Source organism: Homo sapiens, chromosome 8 (assembly GCF_000001405.40).
Source record: "Homo sapiens chromosome 8, GRCh38.p14 Primary Assembly".
NCBI lineage: Eukaryota > Metazoa > Chordata > Mammalia > Primates > Hominidae > Homo > Homo sapiens.
The window spans coordinates 78,835,085-78,860,494 of record NC_000008.11 but is presented as its reverse complement, the minus strand read 5'-3'; the positions used below and the strand labels follow the sequence as shown (position 1 = coordinate 78,860,494).

Genomic DNA, 25,410 nt, shown 5'->3' with positions numbered 1-25,410 from the left:
AATTTTGTTTGCTTTTGAAGGAACTTAAGTTCATTTCTCAGCTTGTGTTTCCCTAATCCACAGAAATAGTGTAAATTTGAACACCAAACCAATGTGGTTACACACTCCCAGAACCTTTTTATTGTTTGCCCACTGAAAGTAGTAACCAAAACAAATAAGTATTTTTGTATTCTACCTTTCTTCCTAAGAAGTTTTTCTTTGGTTGTTTTTGTTTTGCTTGGCTTTTTTCCATCTACTCTTTTATTAATATTTTAGCCCTTTTAATTTTCAACTTTCTTCAAGAGCTTTATTTTCAACCTCTCTCTCTTTGCCTAGGTCCAAGGCCTGGTCTTCTGGGAAAGCTTCCTGTTTTTCTGAAACTATTCTGCTGGGTAGTTATAGATTTCAGTTCTATTTCCCAATCAGTTTGCTAACTCTCTTTTTTTTAACTCACAAGGATCCCCTTACGTTATAGTCAACACATTAAAAAAAAAATGGTTTTACTTTACCCACATACAAATCTGCATTGTAGTGAGGCTTTTCCAGACATGTATTCTGCATTATTGCCAGAAATAGCAACCCTGCAATTTTAATTTTAAATTCATCTTTGATTCAAGAGTTCCTTAGAGGATAACTTTTAATTTCTAAGAAGTTGTGAGTATTATTGTTTGATTTTGAGTTTTATTCAAGCGTTATTCTAAAATATGACCTGTACATTTCCCAAATTGGGGAATTTATTGGGATTTCTTGTATGGTCTACTGATAGAGGAGTGCTGGGAAGGGAAGAGGGTGGTGCATTTAAATGATGCAGAGCGGGAGAAGGGAAGTGCTGGCTAGAGGAGGGCGTGGTCTCTAGCTAGGGCTTCACCCTCGGACCTGTGCCCACAGACCTAGGTGAGGACAGGCGCTCCTGCCTTCACGCCCAATGTTGAATTTTCCAAGATCACCCTGGCCCGCCACACCCCATCCTGGGCCTATAAATATAACCCGAGACCCCACTGGGCAGACACACAAGCGGCGGGGGTCGTAAGGAACACATCAGCAGAAGAAGACACAGGCGGCTAGACGTTGGAGGGGCCCACACCAGCAGAAGAGCACACGACAGACACCGGCAGGCGGGCAGGCCATCAACAGGGGGAACTATGCGGAGTTTGGCTGGTATAGTCAAAGGAGAGCCCAGCCCGCAGAGAGGCCTCCAGGGGAAAACCATCTCCCTCTGGCTCCCCCATCTGCTGAGAGCTACTTCCACTCACTAAAACCTTACACTTATTCTCCAAGCCCAGGTGTGATGCGATTCTTCCAGCACACCAAGGCAAGAACCCAGCATATAGAAAGCCCTCTGTCCTTGCGACGAGGTAGAAGGTCTAACTGAGCTGGTTAACACAAGCCTATAGACGGCAAAACTAAAAGAGCACCCTGTAACACACGCCCACTGGGGCTTGAGGAGTTATAAACATTCACCCTCACACACTGCCGTGAGGTCGGAGCCCCACAGCCTGCCCGTCTGTACACTCCCCGCCCGTCTGTACACTCCCCTAGAGGTCTGAGCAGTGGGGCACTGAAGAAGCGAGCCAGTCCCTCTGTCGCACACCCTGAGAAGGGGACAAGGGAACTTTTTCCGTTTCATTAGAGTATCATCAATTTGATAAACATTTTAAGAAAAATGAAAAGGATGAAACATTTTTAAAGAAAGAAATGTCAATTGTCATTCTAATAATTAAATCTATTATATTATGTATGCTTACTTATTTTATGTCCAATCACCTGTCAAAAATTGAAAGTGGTGATAACATGTCCTGAAATGATTGCATTGTTTTACTTTTTTTCCTTCTTCTCTAGCAGTTTCTGTTCTGTATATGTCAAAACCATGTTATTTGCTCGTTGGAGTTTGAGTCTATTATATCTTCAGTGTAGATAGTAACTTTTATCTTTCTTCCCTTTGCTGGTTTTGTTTTGGAATTACGTTTTAATGAATATTAATAGTCTCACTCCTTTATTTAGTTCTTGTTTGCTGAATATACCTTTGTCCATCCTTTTATTGTTTACTTTTTTGTTATTTTTGTTTTGGAGTAACTCTTGTGTATAGTGAGTGCATATTTAGATACACTGGAGTTGCCACATTTTAATCTTTGTGATTTAATAGTGAGTTTAATCTTTTTAAATTTATGGTTGTATCTGAAATATTTAATCATATTAACATCACTGTATTTCATGCACGGTTTATTTTGTGGTTTCTTTCTGTTTCCTTTGTTTTTCCCTATATGGATATTTTGTTTGCTTAATTTCTATAGCAGTTTAGAAGCTACCCTGTTTTATGTTTCTACTGATTACTTAAAAATTTAATATTTAAAATGTATACTGTAATATATACATTTAAAATTGTCTACATCAGTACAGAAGTATTAACTATTGACTTCCTCCTATCATAGATGAGAAATGAAGCATGCTTTACTTCCTCTACCCAAGCCACCAAGCCAAACCCACTTGTTAGTTTTAATAAACAATATTCTGGATTATTAGGTTCAATTTAATATTAATGTATACAATGTATCTTTTTGTTTATAATTGTTTTTATATTTACATGAATTTTTATAGCTGTTGATTAAATACAACAACGTTCAAATAGTTTCAATGCTTACCAGCTGTATACTATAACTTCCTCATTTTTGTGATATCTATTTTAATCTCTTGTTTGGTGAAATATTTTTTTCAAAAGTGAATGTGGCCAGTGTATTTTCTGAGAATCGTCATGTGATAAAAGAACTTTCTGTTGCCAAAGCACAAGACCAATAATTTGGCTGGGTATAGGGATTTTCAGTGGTAACGTTTTCTCTTGAAAAACACTATTCTATTTTTTTCCACCATGCAATTAGTAATGAAAGGACAATTTTGATGTCAGCATTTAAATAATTTTGTATTTTAATGTGGTTTTAAAATGATCAGATCAGAGATCCAGTTGTTTTGAAGGAAACAGTGAGGGTATCAGAACCCTGCATAATAATTCAGGTACCAGCCTTTGCCTCTCTTCCATTTCTTCTGTGTTGTCTTCTCTTGCAAAACAAACAAGCCTTCACAGGATGAGGCTTTTACTATACGCATAGCTGCCCACACCTGAGAGAAGGCGTGGTGCCACCAGGGCCCACCTATGTCATCCTTTATGCTGTCAACTCTGTGCTTAATTTGAACTGTCTATACTAGAAAGAATTTCAGCAGCCTTCCAATTCTACTGGTGGCACCCAGAATAATACATTCAACAAAGAGAAAAGCAATCCAAGTTGTCTGCCCCCTGAAGACTACAAGTCTACTTTGCCTCCATCATTCACTACCTGGTTTAGGTAGTGAAAACTATTTTATTCCCAATCCCCAGTCTTCCATATTCATGTATACTTATGAATCTAACTTTTGCTCTTCATAAAAGGAGATGTGTGGCCCAGGCTGTAGTCTTGCACTACCAGCACAAAGCAAAAACTCCTTAGCATAAAAGCAGATCTCAGAGATCCATGGAATACCTTCTGAATGGGTCTATTTTGACTTTTACTGAACTACACTTTGGTTTTCTATACCATCTGCCTTTCTGAAGGACATTAAAGGAAACCATTCTATGAAACTCACACATTTATTTGTGGTAAGATATTGGTGACGGTAGCTTTAATTATGCTTCACAGTAAGGCTGTCACCTGCAGGTCCAGCCTTAACCTAGATTTTAAAACCTATCTTTTCCTTAAGTAGATAAATTTTAAATACTGTTCTTGTGTTATGTCTTAACCTTCAATTTTACACTATTGTCTCGTAACTCAATTTTAGTAACTGAATCATGCCCCAGTAAGGCTATATCTTTCCCAGCAGGTCTTTGTTCTGTCTTGTCCTTACCAGCCTTCCTGGGTATTAAGGTGCTTTCCATAAACTCAAAATTATATGACAGAATGGTTTCTATCTGGTGCTAGAGGGACTGCCCTGAGATTAGCCCTTCCTGGCCAGTACTTCTCAGCTTCCTGTTCTCCATGCATTTCTTGCTCATTGGCTGCAGCTTTCATCAGAGCCTGCTCATTTCCTACCAAGTGCCCGCTTCAGGGGATTTCCCAGATACTTTGCCGTAACTCAGTGGACTTAATGTGTTCCCAAGAACTTACATTCCTAAGTCCAACCTGTTCCGCCATCCACCAAGCCCTCGGTTCTGATATCACACTTATTTTTTACCAGAACTAAGGCAATTTTCAATTATCTGGATTTGCCTATGGGTATCTAAAGTTTTTATGCAGCAGCAATAAGTATTTGCAAAGGCATTAACTGAATATGCTATAATGTACGAGGGGAGGATTTTCAGGCTCATTGCCAGTCATCTGATACTAAAAACTAGTTTGTTAAAATTGAGATGGTGCCTACTCCATACCACATGACTTTACCTGCTATTAGCAATTGACTGTGCTTAGACAAATGTTTTTCATTTTCCTTAATCATTCTCACAAAGGAAATGATAAGTGGCTATTCTTCACCACTGAGTAACACAAATAAGCAAGAAACACAAAAGTAGCTCAATCTCTTTTGTTTACTGCTAAGTAAACCTTAACAGTATTTCTACAAGGCTTTCCCAGTAAGTAGAAATTTATTGTTATTTTTATTGTATTTAAGTCAAGAAATGTCTATAAAACCCTGGAGGGATGAAATTTTTCAGAAATTCTCTCTGAATAGTCCCTTTAGAAAGTATGAATTGAAAATATCTAATTTCAATCTGATAATAAAAGGATAAAACAATCTGACCCTTTCAATAAACAATTGTTTTGTTTCCATGTTAGTCATTTTACCTTCTTGAAACTTGAGCTTCTATGATGACTTTGCACATAGTTACTTCTATTTATCAGTGAGCATTTATTGAGTGCCTTCTACCAGTAAGATCCTTTGCTAAGCACTTCATTTATGCAACCTCACTCCATTTCACATTAGACCTCCAAGACAAGATAGATCATCATCACCATTTTGTAGATGAGAAAATCGACCCAGATAGCTTCCTAATGCCTCTCACTGTCAAATGGAACTCTAACACAAGAATTCTGGATAGGTAAGGAAAAGAGACCTGATCACTAATATGGAAATATTGACCTGGAGCATAGTGATGCTGTAAAAAATACGTGTTTTATTTTATTTAAAAATAAAACCATCAGGCACTGTTCTATTTTTTTAATTAGTGGGCATAATTTATATTAGTAACTCATTTGGTCTTCATAACAACAGAGGCAATATTATTATCTCCATTTTAGACATGAGAAAACTGAGGTATAGAAAAATTGAGTAACATGCTCAAGATAGGAAGTGGTGAAGCAAAATTTCAGATCCCAGCAGGTAGGCTTCATGGTTTATCCTTGTCTTCACCATGCTAAAAACAATGTTAGGATAACATAGGCAAGTCTGTGCAGATTGATAAGCAGTAGTAATATTTCTTCATAATCTTTCCCACAGATTTGAGAATTTTGAATTTTGCATGTAGCTCCACTGATAAAGAATAACAATGTTTTATGAACCTTTGTCAGGTCTTTTAAAATGTATAGTGAAGGATAAAAATCACTGACTGGTAAAGGAAGTTAAAATGAATGTTCATAGTGCTTTCTCCTTTGGAAAAGATACTTTCTAAGAAATGCATTATTCATTTGGGGGATTATAACAAAGCTGGGACATTTGAATGAAACATATTCATAGAATTATTGAATTTGAAATGCAAAATGTAAAAAAGAGAACACTATCCAGAAGTTGTTTTCTGCAGAAAAATTTTAAATCACTCTAGCTTTAAATCTTACATTCATACATCTTCAGCAATAATGAAGAGTCGTTTATTTGTAAATAAGTGAAATAAATTCCATCTCACGAAATGTACTATTAAAGGCGGCACCAGAATACATGTTTTAAAATTTATTTTATTCATTTATATTTTGCATTTTTGTATCTCCCTGCTTTTCCTTAGGAATTTATTTCTTGGACCTCTATTCAGTCAGTGTCTGCCCCTTGTGGTAAGCTGAGGAGCCAGCAGTCAAATGCCTATGTTCTATGTTCCTGCAGGTTACAGTGTGTGTGGGGCCCCTGCAGTTCAGCACAGAGCCAACCCTCGTTTTCTTAGAAGGTGTGGCAGGTTCAGTGGAGGACTAGGGGAAGGGAAAATAGCAGTTGAGATGTCCCCTGAAGGGAGCTACAGCACGGCAGGGTCTGACACTGGCATCATTTTGGGGCATCTATGATTGCAGCTGGGAAACACGCTTGCCCAGGAAACAATCACGATGGAGTAGAGAAGCTTGCTGTTTCCTCTTTGTGTCTGGGAGACCACATTATTGCTTAGGCTTGTAAGGTTTGAAGGGAAGTGAGCTCATTTGACCTGGTAGAGACCATAATTGATCAATCTGTCAGATACATATTTGTTAGAGAGTGGTTGTGCTTTGTAGAAAAACATAAATCAAAATGGTGACTTCATATATTTAATATTTGACTTTATTTACAAATAGCATGTTAATTATACACAGAGAGATATACACCTAGTTAAAATGCACAGTTATGCTAACACCAAATAGAAAGTATTTTTCTTTGTTCCCAATGCTGATATTCTGGCAATGTCTTTATTAAATTTTTTTGTTAACACATTGAATACATTTGTAAGCAGCCTGGAGAAAATGAGAGGTTAAAGGAAGTGAAGAAAGATGGAATGTATTCACACTGACTCTGAATGAATATATTTCACCTCTATTCATTGCTTATAATTCATTTTTTCTGTTGTGACAAGATCCTACTTATGGAAATACTGTTGACTTCAGCTTAGATATAGAAACTTAAATACCTGACTTCAGTCAAGTGTGTTGGGAAGAAGCAGGACAGCTCGCAGCCTTGTGAAGCAATGGAAGGCAATATATCAACTGAGCAGTTGTGAGTCCTGGATCCACTCCCAGGTGTCTCACTCATCTGCTTCATGGCCTTGGCTAATTTGCTTAACCTTTGTGCCTGACAATTTCCACAGCCACAAAATGGGGTTGATTACATTACTGTGTGAGAAAACTTTCGGACACTTTAAAGTGGGGTACAGAGACAACAGATAAACACAGTGATCCCAGGGACTGCTCCTCCCCAGATCGTCCTGCTAAGTGCTTTTAACACAAAAAAGTATGGAGTTGAGGAGACACAGGGAAACTTTTGGAGATGATGGATATGTTTATTATCTTGATTGTGGTGATAGTATTGCCAATGTATACATAGATCCAAACACATCAAACTGCACATATCAAACGTGCAGTTTTTTTATTTATGAATTATATCTCAATAAAGCCATTTAACAGAGAAGGAGAGACAGAACTCAGTAAGCTATGAATAAACTTGATTGGGAAGGATACTTACAAGACGCTACACATTTAAGAGGTGGGATGTTCTGGGAGATCCAAAACTCATCATCACTGAGGGCAGCCTGCTCTGTAAGGACTTGCTCTGCCTGCAGGAAACAGTTGGATAATTTCCTTCCTTCCCCTTCCACACCCACATAATATTAGTGAAAAAAAATTGGAAGACTTGATTTTCCTAGGGGGAATATTAAATCATAGATGAGAGAAAGAAAATATGACCTCACAATATTATACCCACTCTATTGTCATACATGTGTAAAGCAACAAGTAGTCATTCTCAAACATGAAAGATATCAAGGATTCTAGAACCCAAAGACCCTTCTCAAATAAACTATTTGACAATAAAATTTAGCAAGTTAAGCAATACATCAAAACAAAGAAATATGAAAAGGAGATGTCTCAGCATTGAATTTACGGTTATAAAAAAGAATATAAGTTTTATAAATTGGACAATATAAAAACACAACTTAAGAAAAACTGGGACCTAAGAGAGGAGGTCTGAAAGCATAATTATATTTGCAAAGCATGGCATCAATCAATATTGTCCAAAATTAAAATATAAAGTTAAAATAAAACAATTACTCAAACTTAAAAAAAAACATAAAAACAAGATTATTATTTCATAGCTGTTAATTAAAATGATGTGGCATCTATAGTAGGACAAGATTTTAAGCACTTGATGTACGAAGACACAACATGTGATCCCACAAAAACCATGACACACAGCTGATGAAATCTTTGATTTTCAACTATAAAACATACAAAGCTGCCTACTTAATTACTTTACTCCTTCCCTTTTAGAATCCATATATTTGAGAGCTCCCTCTGGTGGTTGAATAAAATATAATTTTCATATTAGTAATACCAAGAACTTTTAAATAAAATATAAAGCTATGATCTACATTGAAATTACTTCCTGTAGACTACGAAAGCCTTCTTATTTTTAATATGATAGACATCATGGTATAGTGATGACAGTGATTGATGATGATGATGATGATAAAAAGAATTCTTTTTATTCAACTCTGACTCGTGTTTATTGTCACAATAGTAGTTAATGTGTTTGGAAACAACCTGGCAAAAACAAGCAGAGAAGGCAAATTCCTTAGAAACAAATTGTATGTTTTTAAATAGTGCAAAATTTTAAAATTAAATTCTAGAAAGTAAAATGGAAATTGAGAAAACATCCTAGGACTCACAAACAGTACAAAGTATAACATATATTCCAAAGTATAACAAACAACAAACAAACAGGGCATCAAGAACAATGAAGATACTACATAATAACATTTCCATTATTACAACAAATGTGTCTCAACAACTTTTTGTTTTACCTAATTCTTCTATCAATTCTTCTGCAGAGTAGCAAGCAGAATGAAGTATTTCAGTGATACACTTCTTAACCCTAAAATCTCCTGGGGGAATCCTAATGTGCAGCCTCTGCCCTTTAACTGGATCAGGTCTTGTCATTGTCTATAGCCCTCTACCATTACTACATAGGACTGAGTACTTACACAATGATGCCAGGAAGTGCTTTGCCATGGCCAAGCCCTGGTGATTGATCCTGTAAGCACAGGACCTGATTTTCTCCTGAAATGCTGACTTCCACTCCATAGTCTGCCCTGTCCCTTTGCCTAACACTTTGTTTCCCGCTAGGATTTGAAGGCTTTTCTGAACTCTGGGTCGTGTGCCTGAGTCCAGAGACCATATGTAGGTCAGTCCTTTTCTTTTTGAGTCAGTACCATAGGATGAGGGTCCTGCTATCAAGGTTTAGCTCTCTAGGAAAGACTGACAGCCTGGCCACCTTTCCAACCATGCTGTGAATCACACTTTTTGTGCCCTCACTTGTAGGGTGGTATCACTTGGTGTGCACACCTCCAGAGTTAGGAATGAGAGGGATTCAGTATTCCAGTTACTCCAGTCACAACTCCTTCCGGTCATACCCTCCAATGGGGTAGTTTTGACAGTAAGGTCAGTGTTCTCAACCCGACTCTGGCTGAATCCCCAGATTCCAACAAGACCTCAGCCAGCCTAATGCCAAAGATTCAGTTGGGATACCTGCATCCAAGCATATAACTCCAAGTTATTTCTACCACAACAACATTGAGAGTTAGTATGAGAAAAACATTCTACAAACTGTAAATCCCATGTACATTACATATTAACAGCAATTAGCTTTTCATTTCCATTAATGCAGTAGTCCTATCAGATACACTGTGTGCTAAATAGAATCTGTGGGTCTTCCTGAGATTCTGACTATCATGACCAAATGTTTTTCAAACAAAATGTGCTAAATCCTGAAGCAGCCATTGGCAGGGCTCACTCCCAAATAGCTAGTCAAACTGTCAATGCAATAGCACTTGGTAGACGTAGGTAAAAGGTGCTTTGTTGCAACATGTTTTCCAAAGAGAAAGTGTGAAACAACAAGATTCTGTCAACATTTTGATATTTTTAGTGTATATAAAAGAATATCTGCCAATCAAAATAAATAAGGGACAATGGAGAATTAGCATACAATGGAGAATTAGCATACAAAGTTCTACTTGGCTTTGTATTTCTGATGTCTGCAAGAGAGTATGCCCTAATGAAATCTGTCCAAAGGGGTTGTGCCATGTCACAGTTTAATGTAATGGGCTGCTAATACGTAGGCACAATGCCCTTCTTTTTCTGGCTAGATGCACTTAGGTTAGTCAAAGTGTAGAGCAAGTCTGCCCTTAATCACAAAGTTTGCTAAAACACAGCTAAGTAGAAAAGTCAGTGTGCCTTTATGCCTTTAAATACTGAGATTGGCATCTCCGCAGTAGATGTGTGCATATGTGTGTTCACATCTATTTTTCAGTATTGTCTGATTTCATCCTCACAGGCCTACGTTTCAGCTACCTTATAACTTTTCCAATATAAAAAATTCTTTAGCCCCTAAAAAAAAAAAAACCCTTCTGTGGAACATGTGGCCTAATGGTTTCTGTTAACATGAACTTATGCAAACAAAAATTGTCTTCTACAAATGTTCATATTCTATTCACAGAAAAATATAGTAGCCAAATGAGTGCCTTCATCAGGACAACTGGTATAAACTTCAGACTTTCTCCTAAATCATATTATCTGCCAAAAGCCAAGTGACACATCCTACTTTGCAGCCTCACAACACATGTGACTCAAAGCCATGTGTCAGCAATATTACCAGTCACCACATTGGGCAATTAGGGGGTTGCTCTTGATTTATCAAAATTGTGAATGTTTGCTGCTTCAAGGTGGAGGGTTCTGCTGCTTTAATTCAGAACCTTTATGGGCTACAGCTCATATGCTGTCTTAGTTCATTCTGTGCTTCTATAACAGAATATCTAAGACTGAATAATTTGTAATAAACAGAAATATATTTTCTTAAAGTTCTGGAGGTTGAGAAATCCAAGATCAAGAGGCTGGCACCTGGTGAGAGCCCTCTTGCTGCATCATCCTACGGCAGGAGAGCAAAAGAGCACTCAGGTGAGAGAGAGGAAAGGAGGCCAACCACATCCTTTGATCAGGAATACTCACCTGCAATAATGGTGTTAAGCCACACAGGAAGGCAGATCCCTCATGGCCTAGTTTTACCTTAAAGGTCCCACCTCTCAACACCATTGCATCGGGATTGTTTCTAACAAGTGAACTTTGGGGGACACGTTCAAATCACAGCATATGCTAAATAGCAACACCAGAGACATTCCATTCCCAGGTCAATTTCCAACAGAGTACTTAAAACTTTTTCCCTTTCCTCCCACTTGAGAGAATATGTCAGAAATCAGTGACAATGACATCATAATAAACATAACCTAGAACACGTTACATTTTGTATTTTTAAAAACCATATAATATCACAAACTTAGAAATATTAGTAATTTGCAACATATTCTCACAATGACTCACCACACATCCTATGTTAAAAGAGCATGTTTTAAAAGTGTTGGTCTATAGGTTTCATTGTAAAGTGATGGGATTTTTATAGCACTTTACGTGCATTTTTCATTCAATTCTCACAATATCCTTATAAAGTAGCAGGTGAACATATCATTTCCCTCGTATTACAATTTCCTTTCACACATTTATGGGATCATGAATTAAGCATGGGCCAAATATTTGCTGCACAGATACAGGAAAAGGGAGGGAGGGATTACTTTTATAATTAAATTTGCAAGGCTAACATTTAGAAGACTTTTTATTTCTTCTTAACTGCTTCACCTATAATTGCGAAATGATGCTGTTATACCAGTAGTTTTTGGTGTTTGTTATACTAATTTATTTTTCCTTTCTGATAATTTATAGAAAAAATAAGGGCACTAAATTAAATAAGTTCTAGGAAATACTGCATATTATGTCTGTCTTGTAAGTTCACAGTGTTCTTTTGCATATTCATGGTGCTGAAAAGTCTTTCAGTAAGAAGCAACAGACACTGGGGTCTATTTGAGGGTGGAGGGTGGGAGGAGGGAGAGGAGCAGAAAAGACAACTACTGGGTCCTGGGCTGAATACCTGGATGATGAAATAATATGTCAAACAAACCCACGTGACACCTGTTTACCTATGTAACAAATCTTCATATGTAACTCCAAACCTAAAATAAAGGTTAAAAAACAACAACAACAAAAATTAACAACCAAGCTCCCTATCTGAAAAAAACGTCCTTCAGTAAAGAATCATGTTTAATATTGTTTCACTTCTGTTATTAACATTTTTTTGACCATGGAAACTTTTGCTCCTATAAATGCTGTTAACACGATTTGGAACCGACTTCTGTAGAACATATTTTGAGAACTGCTACTTGAAATGTTAACTGTCTCAGGGTTCAAATAATCAAGCGCCCTATAGATGTTTTACTCACTTGTTTTTATATAAAAGAAAAAAATAGGTTACTTCTTGTGAGAATTTCTTATAAAGGATTCCTCTGAGAAACTGAGAGAGATAACTAAAAATAAATACAAATGAGAAACAAAATGTTCATCAATTCTTAAACCAATAAATACTGCCAATGATACACAGATTGAGCATCCCTAATCCAAAAATTCAAAATCCATAATGCTCCAAAATCTGAAAATTTTGAGCAGTGACATGACACCACGAGTGGAAAATTTCACACCTGACCTCATGTGATGGGTCACAGTCAAAGCACAGACACACAGCACACAGTTTACCAAGCATCCCCAAGAGAAAAAAGACCCCCCCCCCACCTGCTTCTGCTGCAATGTATCTTTTCTGAGCACATCATGACAGTTATACCAAACAACCACAGATTGTCCACATGAGTGGCTGAGATAGTGACACCTTTGCTTGCTGATGACTTAATGTACACGAATTTGTTTCATGTACAAAATTATTAAGAATAATGTATAAAATTACCTTCAGACGAGGGTCATGGGGTGTATATGAAACATCAATGAATTTTGTGTTTAGACTCAGGTCCCATCCCCAATATATCTCATTATGTATATTCAAATATTTCAAAATCCAGAAGAAAACCTGAACTCTGTAACACTGAGGTCCCAAGCATTTCAGATAAGGGACACTTACCGTGTATCACAACTTTCTGGCAGGAATCTCTGCTAGATACAGTAAATTTGAATCAGCGTGAAGAAAAACATCGAAGATTGATATGCAACTTCCCTTCCTGAAAATGTGCAGTTTTCAGGGAAGTAATTAGAGCAAATTCTGACACTTCTCACTAACAGTAAGTAATTGGAGAACTGGCTGGAAGCACAGACAGCTTTGGGGGAAATGGGTCTCTGCCATAGACTGTCGCTGCCCCAAGCTAATCAAACTCAGAAAAATGAACAACCACTCCTCCGTATATTGTTATTGTTTGTTTCTTCATTGATTCCACTTTTCTTAAAAGTAACTATTTTCTCCAACATGGCAGTGGGAAAGGGATCCTCAGAATCTAGAGACTTTTGAAGCAAGATTGAGCAATTTTCACAGATGTAAAAGTTATTACTCAAGAAATGGGAGAAAAAATGTAGCTTCAGCACGCTGAAAGCCCACAGGCCCCAGGGCTTTTAACCAACCTGACTTATAATCTATCTAGTTAACATACCTGAATAATCCAAAATCAAAGGCATACTCCTTAGTACCTTCAACGCAGGCCACACACAACCCACTCCCCTCTTCTCCTCCTAGCTCCCTCCACCAACCCACACACACTAGATCTCACACAACACACTAGAACTGAAATTTGGTGCATTCTTTCCTAGCAAATATATAGAGAAAAAATGCAGAAATAAAGCTTTGCATGGCCATAGCTCTTTTCCTACCTGCCCAGGTGCAGCATGACTGAATTTATATTTAAATTTGAAGGATGAATTAAAATGGCAGCCAGGTAAACAGGAGAAACCATGAATGATCTATCCATGTTATTTTAGGAACAAAAGCTGTCTTGTACAGTCTTTATTCAAAGATGAGTACAAGCAAAAAAAAAAAATGTTTTAAAAATATGGCAGAAAGCACAGCATGTGAAACATAGATTAGGCGTATTCTTTGCAAATAGATTTATTTCAGGAAAGAGGATAAAATTTTAAGGAGAAACTGTAGTGTCAAGGTAATTATAAAGCTGTACAATAATATAAGCTATCATATACAGATAATTCTCCATTTTTCAAGTTCCCAGGAAAGTTATTAACTCTGTGTAAAGTATTCAACCCTGTTCATATAAGTTTAAAAATCTGTTTGAAAGACATTTTTTTGTGGAAAAATATAAGTGGACCAAAATAAATCAATAATAAAAGAAAACTGACAGAGCTATTATAGAACAACAAAATGTTGTAGAAGAATTCTTTCAGATTTCAGGGAAGAGTTTACTTCTATGAGCTCAGAGGAAGAAGGAAGGCTTCACATGATTTTATACAAAATTCATGTAACCCCGAAGCAAAACTCAACCAAAACAACCTACAAATAATAAAACCCCAGACCCATTTCAACATAAATTTAACAGCAAAAATTAGTAATAAGATGTTAATATTTGTAATCCATTGCTGTACTGAAATTCTATTAATGACCAACTGATGTTCATTGCAGAACATAAAAATGGTTTAATGCTAAAAGATTTGTTAATATAATTTCTCCCACAAATAGACTGAGGAAAAGAATCTGTAGTCACCATATGTTCTAAAAAGTCATCAAATGCCTATTCAACTTTTTTTAAAACTTCTTAATAAAGACCTTTAGCATATTTTTTAAAGAAAAAAAAAGCTTAAACTAACAGCCAGAAATTTTCTCTCTCACCATTACTAATAATATTCTTCTAGGAAAGCTAGCCAAAGGAATCACTGAAAAATGTTTTCTAAGAATATTAAGTATAAACAATCAAAAGGAGGCATTATATGATAAAGACTCAAAATTTGTTAAATTTTATTTGTAGACAAAATAGTTTGCTACATAAAGAAAACAAGAATATTGACTAAAAGTAACTTAGAGAGTTCAGCAAAGACAATCAGTTGAGAAATTAGTATTTTTAAAGGTAGCTTTTCTATAATAAGGAAACAACTAGTTAAAATAAAACAAAGATATTTCATTCACAATAGCAACTGTTATATGGTAGCCTTACAAACATCAAACATTACTAGGGAGACATAGGACTGGATGTGCTTTCTTCCTTCACTTTCTTATTGTTTAGATTTCTGTATTTTTTTAAAGTGTTAATTTTATTAACAAAAACAAAACATATTAATTATCAAAAACTAAAGACCTATTTTCTTTAAAAACTAAAAAACTAAATACATTAAGATAAACATCAAGATATTTTATCATTATATTTTAATAGATAAGACAATTTAATAAAGATTAACTTCATAGAATTACTTTTTAGTGCTAAAAGAGTCTTTAGAAGACATCTAACTCAAGCCTGCATTTTCAAATAAGAAGTTCAGGGCTTTACTGGTTACAGGATTTGTTTAAGGTTTCTAGTCAATGGCAAAACCATGTTTAAAACTCAGGACTTCTGACTTTGAGTCCACAGTTTCTTTATTTTTTCCTGACTTCTCTTACCCGTTCTACTCCTCATTATACTTACAAGAGTAATTCTTAGCTATTCATGATCTTTGTTCAATTTGACTTAGATTTTAGAGTATTAATGAAACACTCATTCAACTCACACTAATACGTTGAACTTGGAATCAAGATCGGTCAGTGGCTGTTTAGGGATTCGGTGGAGCTTGGCACTGCAAATTCTTGCATTTAGCTTCGCTCATCTGGTACTGACTATTCCGCTACAGCCATAAGGCATTTATTTTCTGCTAAGTTGATATAAGTAAAAATGGGAAAATGCTCCACTTTCTGGGGGCTCCTCTAGCCCTCACTTTCTTTCCTGTTCACCAAAGAACAGAAATATGTAAAGAAGACATTTCCTACACATTCACAAAAGTATATATCCTTCTTGCCCATTCATTAAATATCCAGAATAAAAGGTCTTTATGGCCAGATGCTATCTATTGCTTATTTTAAAATGGTTACATTAACTTATAATCATGTTTCCATAATTCCAATCCACAAACTTGATTCAGAGATAACAGTTCCTTCTTTTAAATCTAGTTATATATCCAAGCTTAGCCAATCATAACCTCCATGGACAGCATTAATTTTTAATATAATAACTAATAACAGTAAGTTACAAAGTGTGAACAACTGGAGACAAGGATGGTATATAAATCACAGGAGTGCAAGCAGCTCAGTTTAGGCAGGGAAAGAGACAGAGGTTCTGGCTGAACTCCTTGGGAAGCAGAGGCAGAAGAGGAGAGAGACTAAGAGCAGAACTCTACTAATTTTTGACCAGCCTGGAAGTACTGAACTACCCTGAGCAACAATGGTCAGAAGGACACCCGTCATGCAGCCCCACCTCTACATTACTTGCATGTGCTGATTATCTAATCCATTCTCTGGATGACTATTTTCATAAATGTCTTTCTCCCTCCTCATGCTCAACACCTCTTCTATTGTCACTCTCACCCAATGGCTCTGCTTTCTACTTTGTTCAAAAAAATATATATAAATAAACTGAAGCAACAGAAGACACTCTAACAAGCTCTCATCATTATATTTGCACCTAGTAACTACCTTCACTCTGTTTTCCTTTGTTATAGATAAACTGCCTGCATTCTTACCCAAGGGCAACTCCTCAATTATTCACTATGTTGCCTTAGGTTACGGTTAACCTATTCAAGGAACCAGCTCCCCAAATCTCTCTTCTTTCTCCTGCAACATCAATTTCCCCATCTCTATATGTTATCATTTCCATCAGCATACAAGTGTACTGTTACTTCTACCATATGAAACACTTTTTTCTTTCTTTCTTTCTTTCTTTCTTTCTTTTTTTTTTTTGAGGTGGAGTTTCACTGTTTTTGCCCAGGCTGTAGTGCAATGACACGAACTTGGCTCACTGCAACCTCCATCTCCCAGGTTCAAGTGATTCTCTTGCCTCGGGCTCCCGAGTAGCTGGGATTACAGGTGCACGCCACCAGGCCCAGCTAATTTTGTATTTTTAGTAGAGATGGGGTTTCACCATGTTGGCCAGGCTCATCTCGAACTCCTGACCTCTGGTGATCCGCCCTCCTTGGCCTCCCAAAGTGCTAGGATCACAGGCGTGAGCCACCTTGCCCAGCTGAAACTAATTTTTTAAATGAAACACATTCATTTCTCTGCTCCTTGTACCTTCATATCCTCCCTTTCTCCTACTCCTGTCACTCTGCTGAACCATGGCTAGATCAAAGTCTTCAGTGACCTCCATATTGCTAAACCACTGGCAGGTTCTTAGCTTTCACCTTATTTGATTACCTAGAAACATTTAAAATGGCTCATTACTTGGCTTTCAAGACAAGCTCCTTATTTTCTTCCTCTCCTACTGGTTATTTCTATTCAGTTTCCGGTGTAAGCCCTTCCTCTTCTCCTAGACCTTTTAATGCCCAAGTGCGCCACAGCTCGGTCCTTTAGCTTCTCCTCTAATTACTTTCACTGCATTGGTCATTTTATCCTGACTCATAGTTTTCAACATCACCCAGTCACAGACAACCTTCAAATTTCTATCTGTAGCTCACAATTCTCCTCTGAATGCCACATCCATATACCTGAAGGTCTAAAATGACACCTACACGTTGGATGAACATATCCAAACAAACATTTTCTTCTCTCCCAAATGCCGCTCCCCTTTCTCATCTCCGTTAATAAAATTATCATCACTCAGGTGCTGACATATAAAACCTTGGACTAATCCTTGACTCCCCCTTGTTCTTCACACCCTACATCCAATCTAATAACAAATTCTGGTTACCCTACCTTCAAATAATCATAGGATCTGGCCTCTTCCTAATATCCTCACTGTTACTACCCTGGAATAAGCACTAACTTCTATTACCTGGATTATCACACCATTTTCCAGACTGGTTTTCCTGCTTTCACCATTTACACACTCCAGCTTGTTCTCAGCAACGCAACCAGAGTGATCAGTTTAAAGTGTAATATCGTGTCACTCTTCTGCTTAAACCAGTGCCATAAATACCTACCCCCTCAAATTCTTACAATTGCCGACAAAGTCCTACTTTTCTGGCCCCACCATTACCCTTCTGATCTCCTCTGCTAATTCTCTTCCCCTTGATCTTTCTTCTTCAGCCACAATGGATTTCCTGGTGTTATTGAAATAAATGAGGAAATTTTTTTTTATCTCAGGGCCTTTGCACTTGCTGTTCTACATCCTACACCCAATCTGTTAACAAATTCTTATGACTCTACTTTCAGTTAACTCCAGAATCCTCACTGCAACCTTTAACCCTCTGGTTATTCCCTAGCCACCTTATGTTGCTTTATTTTTCTTCATAGTACTTGTAACCTTCTTAAATACCATGCAACTTAATCATTTATTAAGTTTCATTGTCTATCTCCCCATACCAGAATAGAAGCCCCATAAAGGCACAAATATTTGCTGATTTGTTCACTGATTTATCCCCACTGCTTAGGGCTATACCTGAAACATAGTAGATAATTAATAATCTTCAAAAAGATAAAATTGGAAAAATAGAACAAGATGTTTAAAAATGGTTTGTGCACTAAGTTTAGAAATATAACTCTGTCAATATTTGGAAAACTTGTATTTAATGCACAAAATATCGTTTTTGCGTGTGTGTTTTTTGTCACCTTCCTCTAGATATTAAAACACAAGGAAATTCACAAAACAATAACGGATAGAGTTAAAGCCCATCATTTTTACTTCTCTCTAATATTAAACCAACAGACCAATTCCATGTAGAGTTTCACTTGCAACTTCCTGGGAAATCAAAATAAAGATTAGTGCTTTGAGCTAGCATCATAGGACCTGTTTTTGCATTTGTTTTCTACAAATGCAAAAAAAAACCAAACTGGTAATGTGGTTGCTATTATCAGCTCTCTGTATTGGCGGTACTAAGAACATCCATCTTCCTTCTTTCCAGAACTATCACAGCCCAGTGCCATCAAAAATTATTTGTAAGGTGAGTCAGGCTAAGGTAAGATGGTGGGATGGTCCATTTAATGAATGAGGAAGACCTGCTTTTAAAGCAGAAGACTATTGACTTGGTAAGTAAACCTACCTCTGACCAGGCTGCATCTGGTTGGGCCCCTGTGTGTATACCTGTGTCACTCTCTCTCTCAACGTCTCTCTCTCTCTCTCCCCTCTTTCTCTCTCTCTCTCTCTGCCCTCTCTGTTTCTTTGTGTGTGTGTGTGTGTGTGTCTGTGTGTGTGTGTGTGTGTGTGTGTGTCTCTGACTCTTTGTCTTGCTGCCTATCTCTGTCTGTCTCTAGGTTTTTCTCTCAGTCTCTCTCTGATTCCTCCTCTATGTCCTCTCTCTTTCTGTCTCTCAGTCTCTCTCTATCATCTCTATTTATAACTCTCTTTTCTTTTCACTCTACCTCCTCTCTCCTCTCTCTCTCTCTCTCTCTCTCTCTCCCCCTTTCTGGTGAAAGCATGCACACACAAACCCATACCTCACCACTATAACTCAGACATACTTCTAATTACACATTTCTGAGTGAGATTTGTAGAATCTCAGTTTTATAGGCTTTTATAGATCTTGTGATTCTCATTAGACGTTTGTGTTAAAGGAGGAACATCTACATGTACTTGGTGAGAGAACCAAGTATTATATCCTAATATAAATTTTAGAACACACCATGTAAGGAAAAATATAGTGAGGTAAGTTTTTAATATCTATGTGTGTTTTTCTCTAAGCATAGTGGAAGTCTCAATGACTGTAAATTACTTATTGTTTCACTTATACAACTGCAAAAAAAATCAAGGGTGTTTCTCATTCGCCTGGCAAAATTCTTCTCGATTTTCAGTTTATTTTACTACCACAGAAAAGTCTGAATGACTCAGTGAATAAATAAATTGCTGACTAAAGAGGTACTGAGGAAGAGAACTGTTTCCTGTTCTACTCACAACCTGCTTGCATTGCCGAGTCAGGCATTTCCCCTTTTGACTTCCACAAAGGTCCCTGCTTCCTGCCTGTACACCTTTGGTGAGCTCTGCAACTCTGGAGTGGACAGACCTCCGGGGGGAGCCAAGTGGCCAAGGTGTCCTGAATCCTCTGAATGGATATTTAACATCATGAGAAGGTAGCTTAAGAAATAACTCAAAAGCAGATCATCAGAGTTGTCTTTTTAATTTAGGAGAAAAAGCCAAGTCAGTTTTAAGACGAATGTATTCATTACAAAGCTATATTCCGACCAGATAGCATGCAACAACATAAATCATAATGGAGTATAGAATTTCATGTTTTAAAAAATAGAAAATAGTATATCCAGAGAAAAACCAACCTATCAGATTTTAGAAGGCCTTTCTCATAAAATAAGAACAAAATTTTTAAATAATTATCGATTACTCAGTATATAATTTTTAAACCTTTGGACATAAAATACATCATAAAGTGATAATAAAAGGCAGTTAATAAATTGGAAACAGTACCAATGACATGAAAGGGTTACTGTAGCCTAATATATAAATATGTTTTATAAATCAACATAAACAGTCTAGTAGAAAAATAGGCAAAGGACATAAACAGCATTTTGCCAAAGAACTAAGTATAATAAATATATAAATGACATATAAGTGTTCAATAATTATATGAAACTTCAAATTCACCAATAATGACAAAAATGAATATTAAAAGTAATTTTCAATAATATCTTTATAATAACCTAGGTTATAATGCAGCACACATTAATTTCCAAATCTCAGTATTTTAGCACAAGAAAATTGAGTTCTCCTTTGTAGCACAATTTTATCACAGGTTGGAGAGGGGCTCCATTTCAGTTACTTAGGGATCCAAATGGAGGAAGGCCCCATTAACGTATAGCTGTTCCATCTGGGACCTATGCCCTTCTTAGCCAATGAGGATGAGAAGAGGTCTGAGAATCACATATAATCTTTTCTCTGCCTTGGCTCAGAAGGCATATCACTTCTGCTCACAATTATTTTGGCTGGTATTAGTTATATGTGTCTCCAATTCCAGCATTACTCTCCTTGCCAATCTCTCAAATTGGCAAAGGAAATAAAGAAGAAAAAGGAAGGAAAAGCAAGCAAGCAAGAAAGAAAGAAAGGAGGGAGGGAGGGAAGGAAGGAAGGGCTGATGAAGATATTTCTTGTCAAGAAAGCAGGTGAGTAAAGAGAAAGAGACATGAAGGTGGATGATATTGTTTGGCTCTGTGTCCCCACCCAAATCTCACCTAGAATTATAATAATTCCCATGTGTCAAGGACAGAGACAAGTGGAGATAATGGCATCATGGGGGTGGTTTCCCCCACACTGTTCTCATCGTATTGAACACATCTCCCAAGATCTGATGGTTTTATAAACAGGAGTTCCCCCTGCACAAGCTCTCTTGCCTGCTGCCATGTAAGACTTCCCTTTGCTCTTGCTTTGTCTTCTGCCATGATTGTGAAGCCTCCCTAGCCCTGCGGAACTGTGAGTCCATTAAACCTCTTTCCTTTATAAATTCCCCAGTCTCAGGTATGTCTTTGTTAGCGATGTGAGAACAGACTAATACAGTGGATGACGCACTTGGAATTCTCCAAGTTATTTAGCTGGGGGATAAAGGATGGTAAGAAATAGGTTGGGGAACTAAAGAGAGGACACCTGATAAAGGTCCTTAAAGACTGACCTTTGTCAGTATGAAGATAATGGTGATTTACCGAAGGATGCTGTGATCAAGTGTGCATCTTGATAGATTTCTCTGGCTACTGTAAACAAAATGGAAAAACTGGAGACTGGGAAATGAAAGAAGATGCTATTGCAGGGAGCAATACAACTATAAATTAGAACAAGAATGTCGACTTCACAACACATTTGGGAATACCTGTTATGTTAACTTAGGAGAGGGAAGTCATATTCCTATGTACACATCTTATAAAAATTTAGTCTTATAAAGCAACTTAATCAACCATATGATGAAATTCACAGTTAATAACGCAGCTGGGACAAGAAGTTTCAGAACATTTTTTTCTGACTATTCACACTATCAAGAACTTATCCCAGCACGTGACTTTTGTTGTTTTTGTTTTTGGATACTGTGTTCTCTTTCAGTTACTCTGATGAGATGGGTTCCTGCAAGCTGCAGGCTTCAGTAAGTTGGTGACCATCAACAGTATGCCTTCTCTCTTTCAAAGGCCCACAGGGTTCATGCAAACCTTTTCTGATTTCACGAAGGGAGTAGGATTCTTAGTGTTGAATTCCTGAAGTAAGATACGTTTTCCTTCTTTTATGTGGTCTTTTAATTATCTCAGTAGAGTTACTTCAAAGCCCATTGTTGCCTTTTGCCTTTCCTCCTCTATCGTTCCTTCAGCTGAGAGACAGCACCATGTAGAAGTTGACAGCACCATGTAGAAGTTAACAGCACAGAATGAAACCAGACTGACAGTATTTAAATACTAGTGCCATTGTTTCATTAGTCCACGACCTTGAGCAAGTTGCTTAACTCCTCTATATATCAGTTTCTTCTAAAATAAGGATTAATAATAATACCTTAATAAATGGCAAAACTAGTCCTGTTCTTTACCCCTTCCTGGATGCATACTCTTGGCACTAGGTGTTTTCACTTGCTCTGTCCAATACCATACGTGGGAAGTAACAGTGTGCATTCCAAACCTAGGCTTTAAGAAGCATTGCCTGCTTCCGCTCTCTTTCTCTCTGTTAGAACCCTCCTATGGCAATGGAAATAAGTCCAGGCTAGCATTGTGAAAATGAGAGAACTTCTAGAGAACAGCCAAGCAGTCCTAACTGAGGCCATCTTATACTCCCAGCACCCATCCAACAAGGCAGCTGACTGTCCACAGGTGAGTGGGCCAAGTCAATGTCTTTTGAACTTGGCCCAGATCAGCAAAAACAGTGGCTTGTGAGAAAGGATAAAAAGGTCTATTGTTGTAATTATGTTTTTACAGTTTTATGTTTTGGGGTAGTTTGCTATATAGCGTTATTTTGGCAATACATAACTGATACCCTATTTCACAGAGTTGAAGCTTAAATGAGTTTATACATGTCAAGTTCTTAGAAGAATAGTTGGTATTTATTAGATATTATTTAAATGTTTGTTTTTATTACTATTTTTGTAGTAGTAATAATAATAGAATAGAAATGGGATTTAGATTGGAAATACAGATCTGAGAACAAGCCTAAACGTGGCCACAGAAAACATGACAATGGATGGGAGCTAGGACAAAACATTTAAAGAGCTAATTTCATCTGATTTTTTTTAAGGTCAATAGGATTTTTATATATATATATATATACTCTAAGTTCTGGGATGCATGTGCAGAACGTGCAGGTTTGTTACATAGGTATACAACAATACCTATGGTGCCATGGTGGTTTGCTGCACCCATCAACCCATCATATACATTAGATATTTCTCCTAATGCTATCCCTCCACTAGGCCCTGGTGTGTGATGTTCCCCTCTCTGTGTCCATGTCTTCTCACTGTTCAACTCCCACTTATGAGTGAGAACATGCGGTATCTGGTTTTCTGTTCCTGTCTTAGCTTGCTGAGAATGATGGTTTCCAGCTTCATCCATGTCCTTTCAAAGGACATGAACTTATCCTTTTTTATGGCTGCATAGTATTCAGTGGTGTATATGGGCCACATTTTCTTCATCCAGCCTATCATTGATGAGCATTTGGGTTGGTTCCAAGTCATTGCTATTGTGAATAGTGCTGTAATAAACATACATATGCATCCGTCTTTAAAGTAGAATTATTTATACTCCTTTGGGTATATACCCAGTAATGGTATTGCTTGGTCAAATGATATCTCTGGTTCTAGATCCTTGAGGAATCGTCACACTGTCTTCCACAATGGTTGAACTAATTTACGCTCCCATCAACAATGTAAAAGTGTTCCTATTTCTGCATGTCCTCTCCAGCATCTGTTGCTTCCTGATTTTTTAATGATTGCCATTCTAACTGGTGTGAGATGGTATCTCTTTGTGATTTTGACTTGCATTTCTCTAATGACCAGTGATGATGACCTTTTTTTTATGTTTGTTGGCCATATAAATGTCTTCTTTTGAGAAGTGTCTGTTCATACCCTTCACCCACTTTTTGAAAGGGTTTTTGCTTTTTTCTTGTAAGTTTGTTTAAGTTCCTTGTAGATTCTGGATATTAGCCCTTTGTCAGGTGTATAGATTGCAAAAATTTTCTCCCATTCTCTAGGTTGCCTGTTCATGCTGATGATAGTTTCTTTTGCTATTCAGAAGCTCTTTACTTTAATTAGATCACATTTGTCAACTTTGGCTTTTGTTGCCATTGCTTTTGATGTTTTAGTCATGAAGTCTTTGCCCATGCCTGTGTTCTGAATGGCATTGCCTAAATTTTCTTCAAGGGATTTTATGGTTTTAGGTCTTACTTTAAGTCTTTAATCCATCTTGAGTTAATTTTTGTATAAAGTATAAGGAAGGCATCCAGTTTCAGTTTTCTGCTTATGGCTAGCCAGTTTTCCCAATACCATTTATTAAATAGGGAATCCTTTCCCCATTGCTTGTTTTTGTCAGCTTTGTCAAAGATCAGATGGTTGTAGCTGTGTGGCATTATTTCTGAAGCCTCTGTTCTGTTCCATTGGTCTATATATCTGTTTTGGTACCGGTACCATGCTGTTTTGGTTAGTATAGCCTTGTAGTATAGTTTGAAGTCAGGTAGTATGATGGCTCCAGCTTTGTTCTTTTTGCTTAGGATTGTCTTGGCTATATGGGCTCTTTTTTCATTCCATATGAACTTTAAAGTAGTTTTTTCCAATTCTGTGAAGAAAGTCAATGGTAGCTTGATCAGGATAGCATTTAAACTATAAATTACTTTGGGCAGTATGGCCATTTTCACGATATTGATTCTTCCTATCCATGAGCATGGAATGTTTTTCCATTTATTTGTGTCCTCTCTTATTTGCTTGGTCAGTGGTTTGCAGTTCTCCTTAAAGAGGTCCTTCACATCCCTTGATAGAAAATTGAAATATACCTTTATTTCTGCTTTGTCTAGAAACCACCCCAAATTTAAAGAAATAAAAATTATAAAATTCCACTGAGGCAATGAGAATAGAAGGGGAGAGAATAGATGTCAACAAATTTTCGAAAGATGAGAGTGGTAACAGACTTAGTAAAAGAAGTGATTTTTTAAAAGTGCCTTCAGAGGTGATCTAATTAGAAGACAATGGGTTTCTCTTAGCAAAAAGCTCTTTTTCAGGTTGTATAGAAGGTGGGAGTGAGGATTGTGGCTAAAAATCAAGATTCTGAAGACAAGTATCTATGCAGCTTAGTGTTGATTCCATTCTCACAACTCTGCCATACAAAGATAAGCTATGACTGTTTCCATTCATCTTCCCAATTGCCTCACAGGAGTCTGAAATTTAGTGAAAAATAGAACCTGAGAGACTCAACTTTGGAATAGCAAGAAGAGTACAGGAAGGACAATTGTGGACAGAGGAAATCAAGGGGGTTAAGGAAAGTCTGCATGCTGAAGAGTAGGCCTTCAGACTCTTCTCTCCCACCATTGATAGCTAGGCTTATCCCAACTACCCCCTTCTAAGAAACAGGAAGAATCTTCTC

At 37.1% G+C, this 25,410-nt stretch overlaps 2 long non-coding RNA genes across 9 annotated transcripts in view; both read right to left on the bottom strand.

The window, feature by feature from the left end:
* Positions 1-25,410, bottom strand: part of MITA1 (metabolism induced tumor activator 1) — a 133,238-nt gene that overhangs the window by 77,215 nt on the left and 30,613 nt on the right. The window contains exon 2 of one of the 8 annotated variants that reach the window (XR_001745967.2): positions 7,345-9,404. The exons of 6 other annotated variants lie outside the window; for them this stretch is intronic. This is a non-coding gene — a long non-coding RNA (metabolism induced tumor activator 1). Of the gene's footprint in view, positions 1-6,432; positions 9,405-25,410 lie in introns of those variants that run through there. One more of the 8 variants, XR_007060970.1, reaches the window with a different exon arrangement.
* On the bottom strand, positions 19,973-22,966 carry LINC02605 (long intergenic non-protein coding RNA 2605). The gene has a single exon (NR_157588.1). It is a non-coding gene; the product is annotated as a long intergenic non-protein coding RNA 2605 (long non-coding RNA).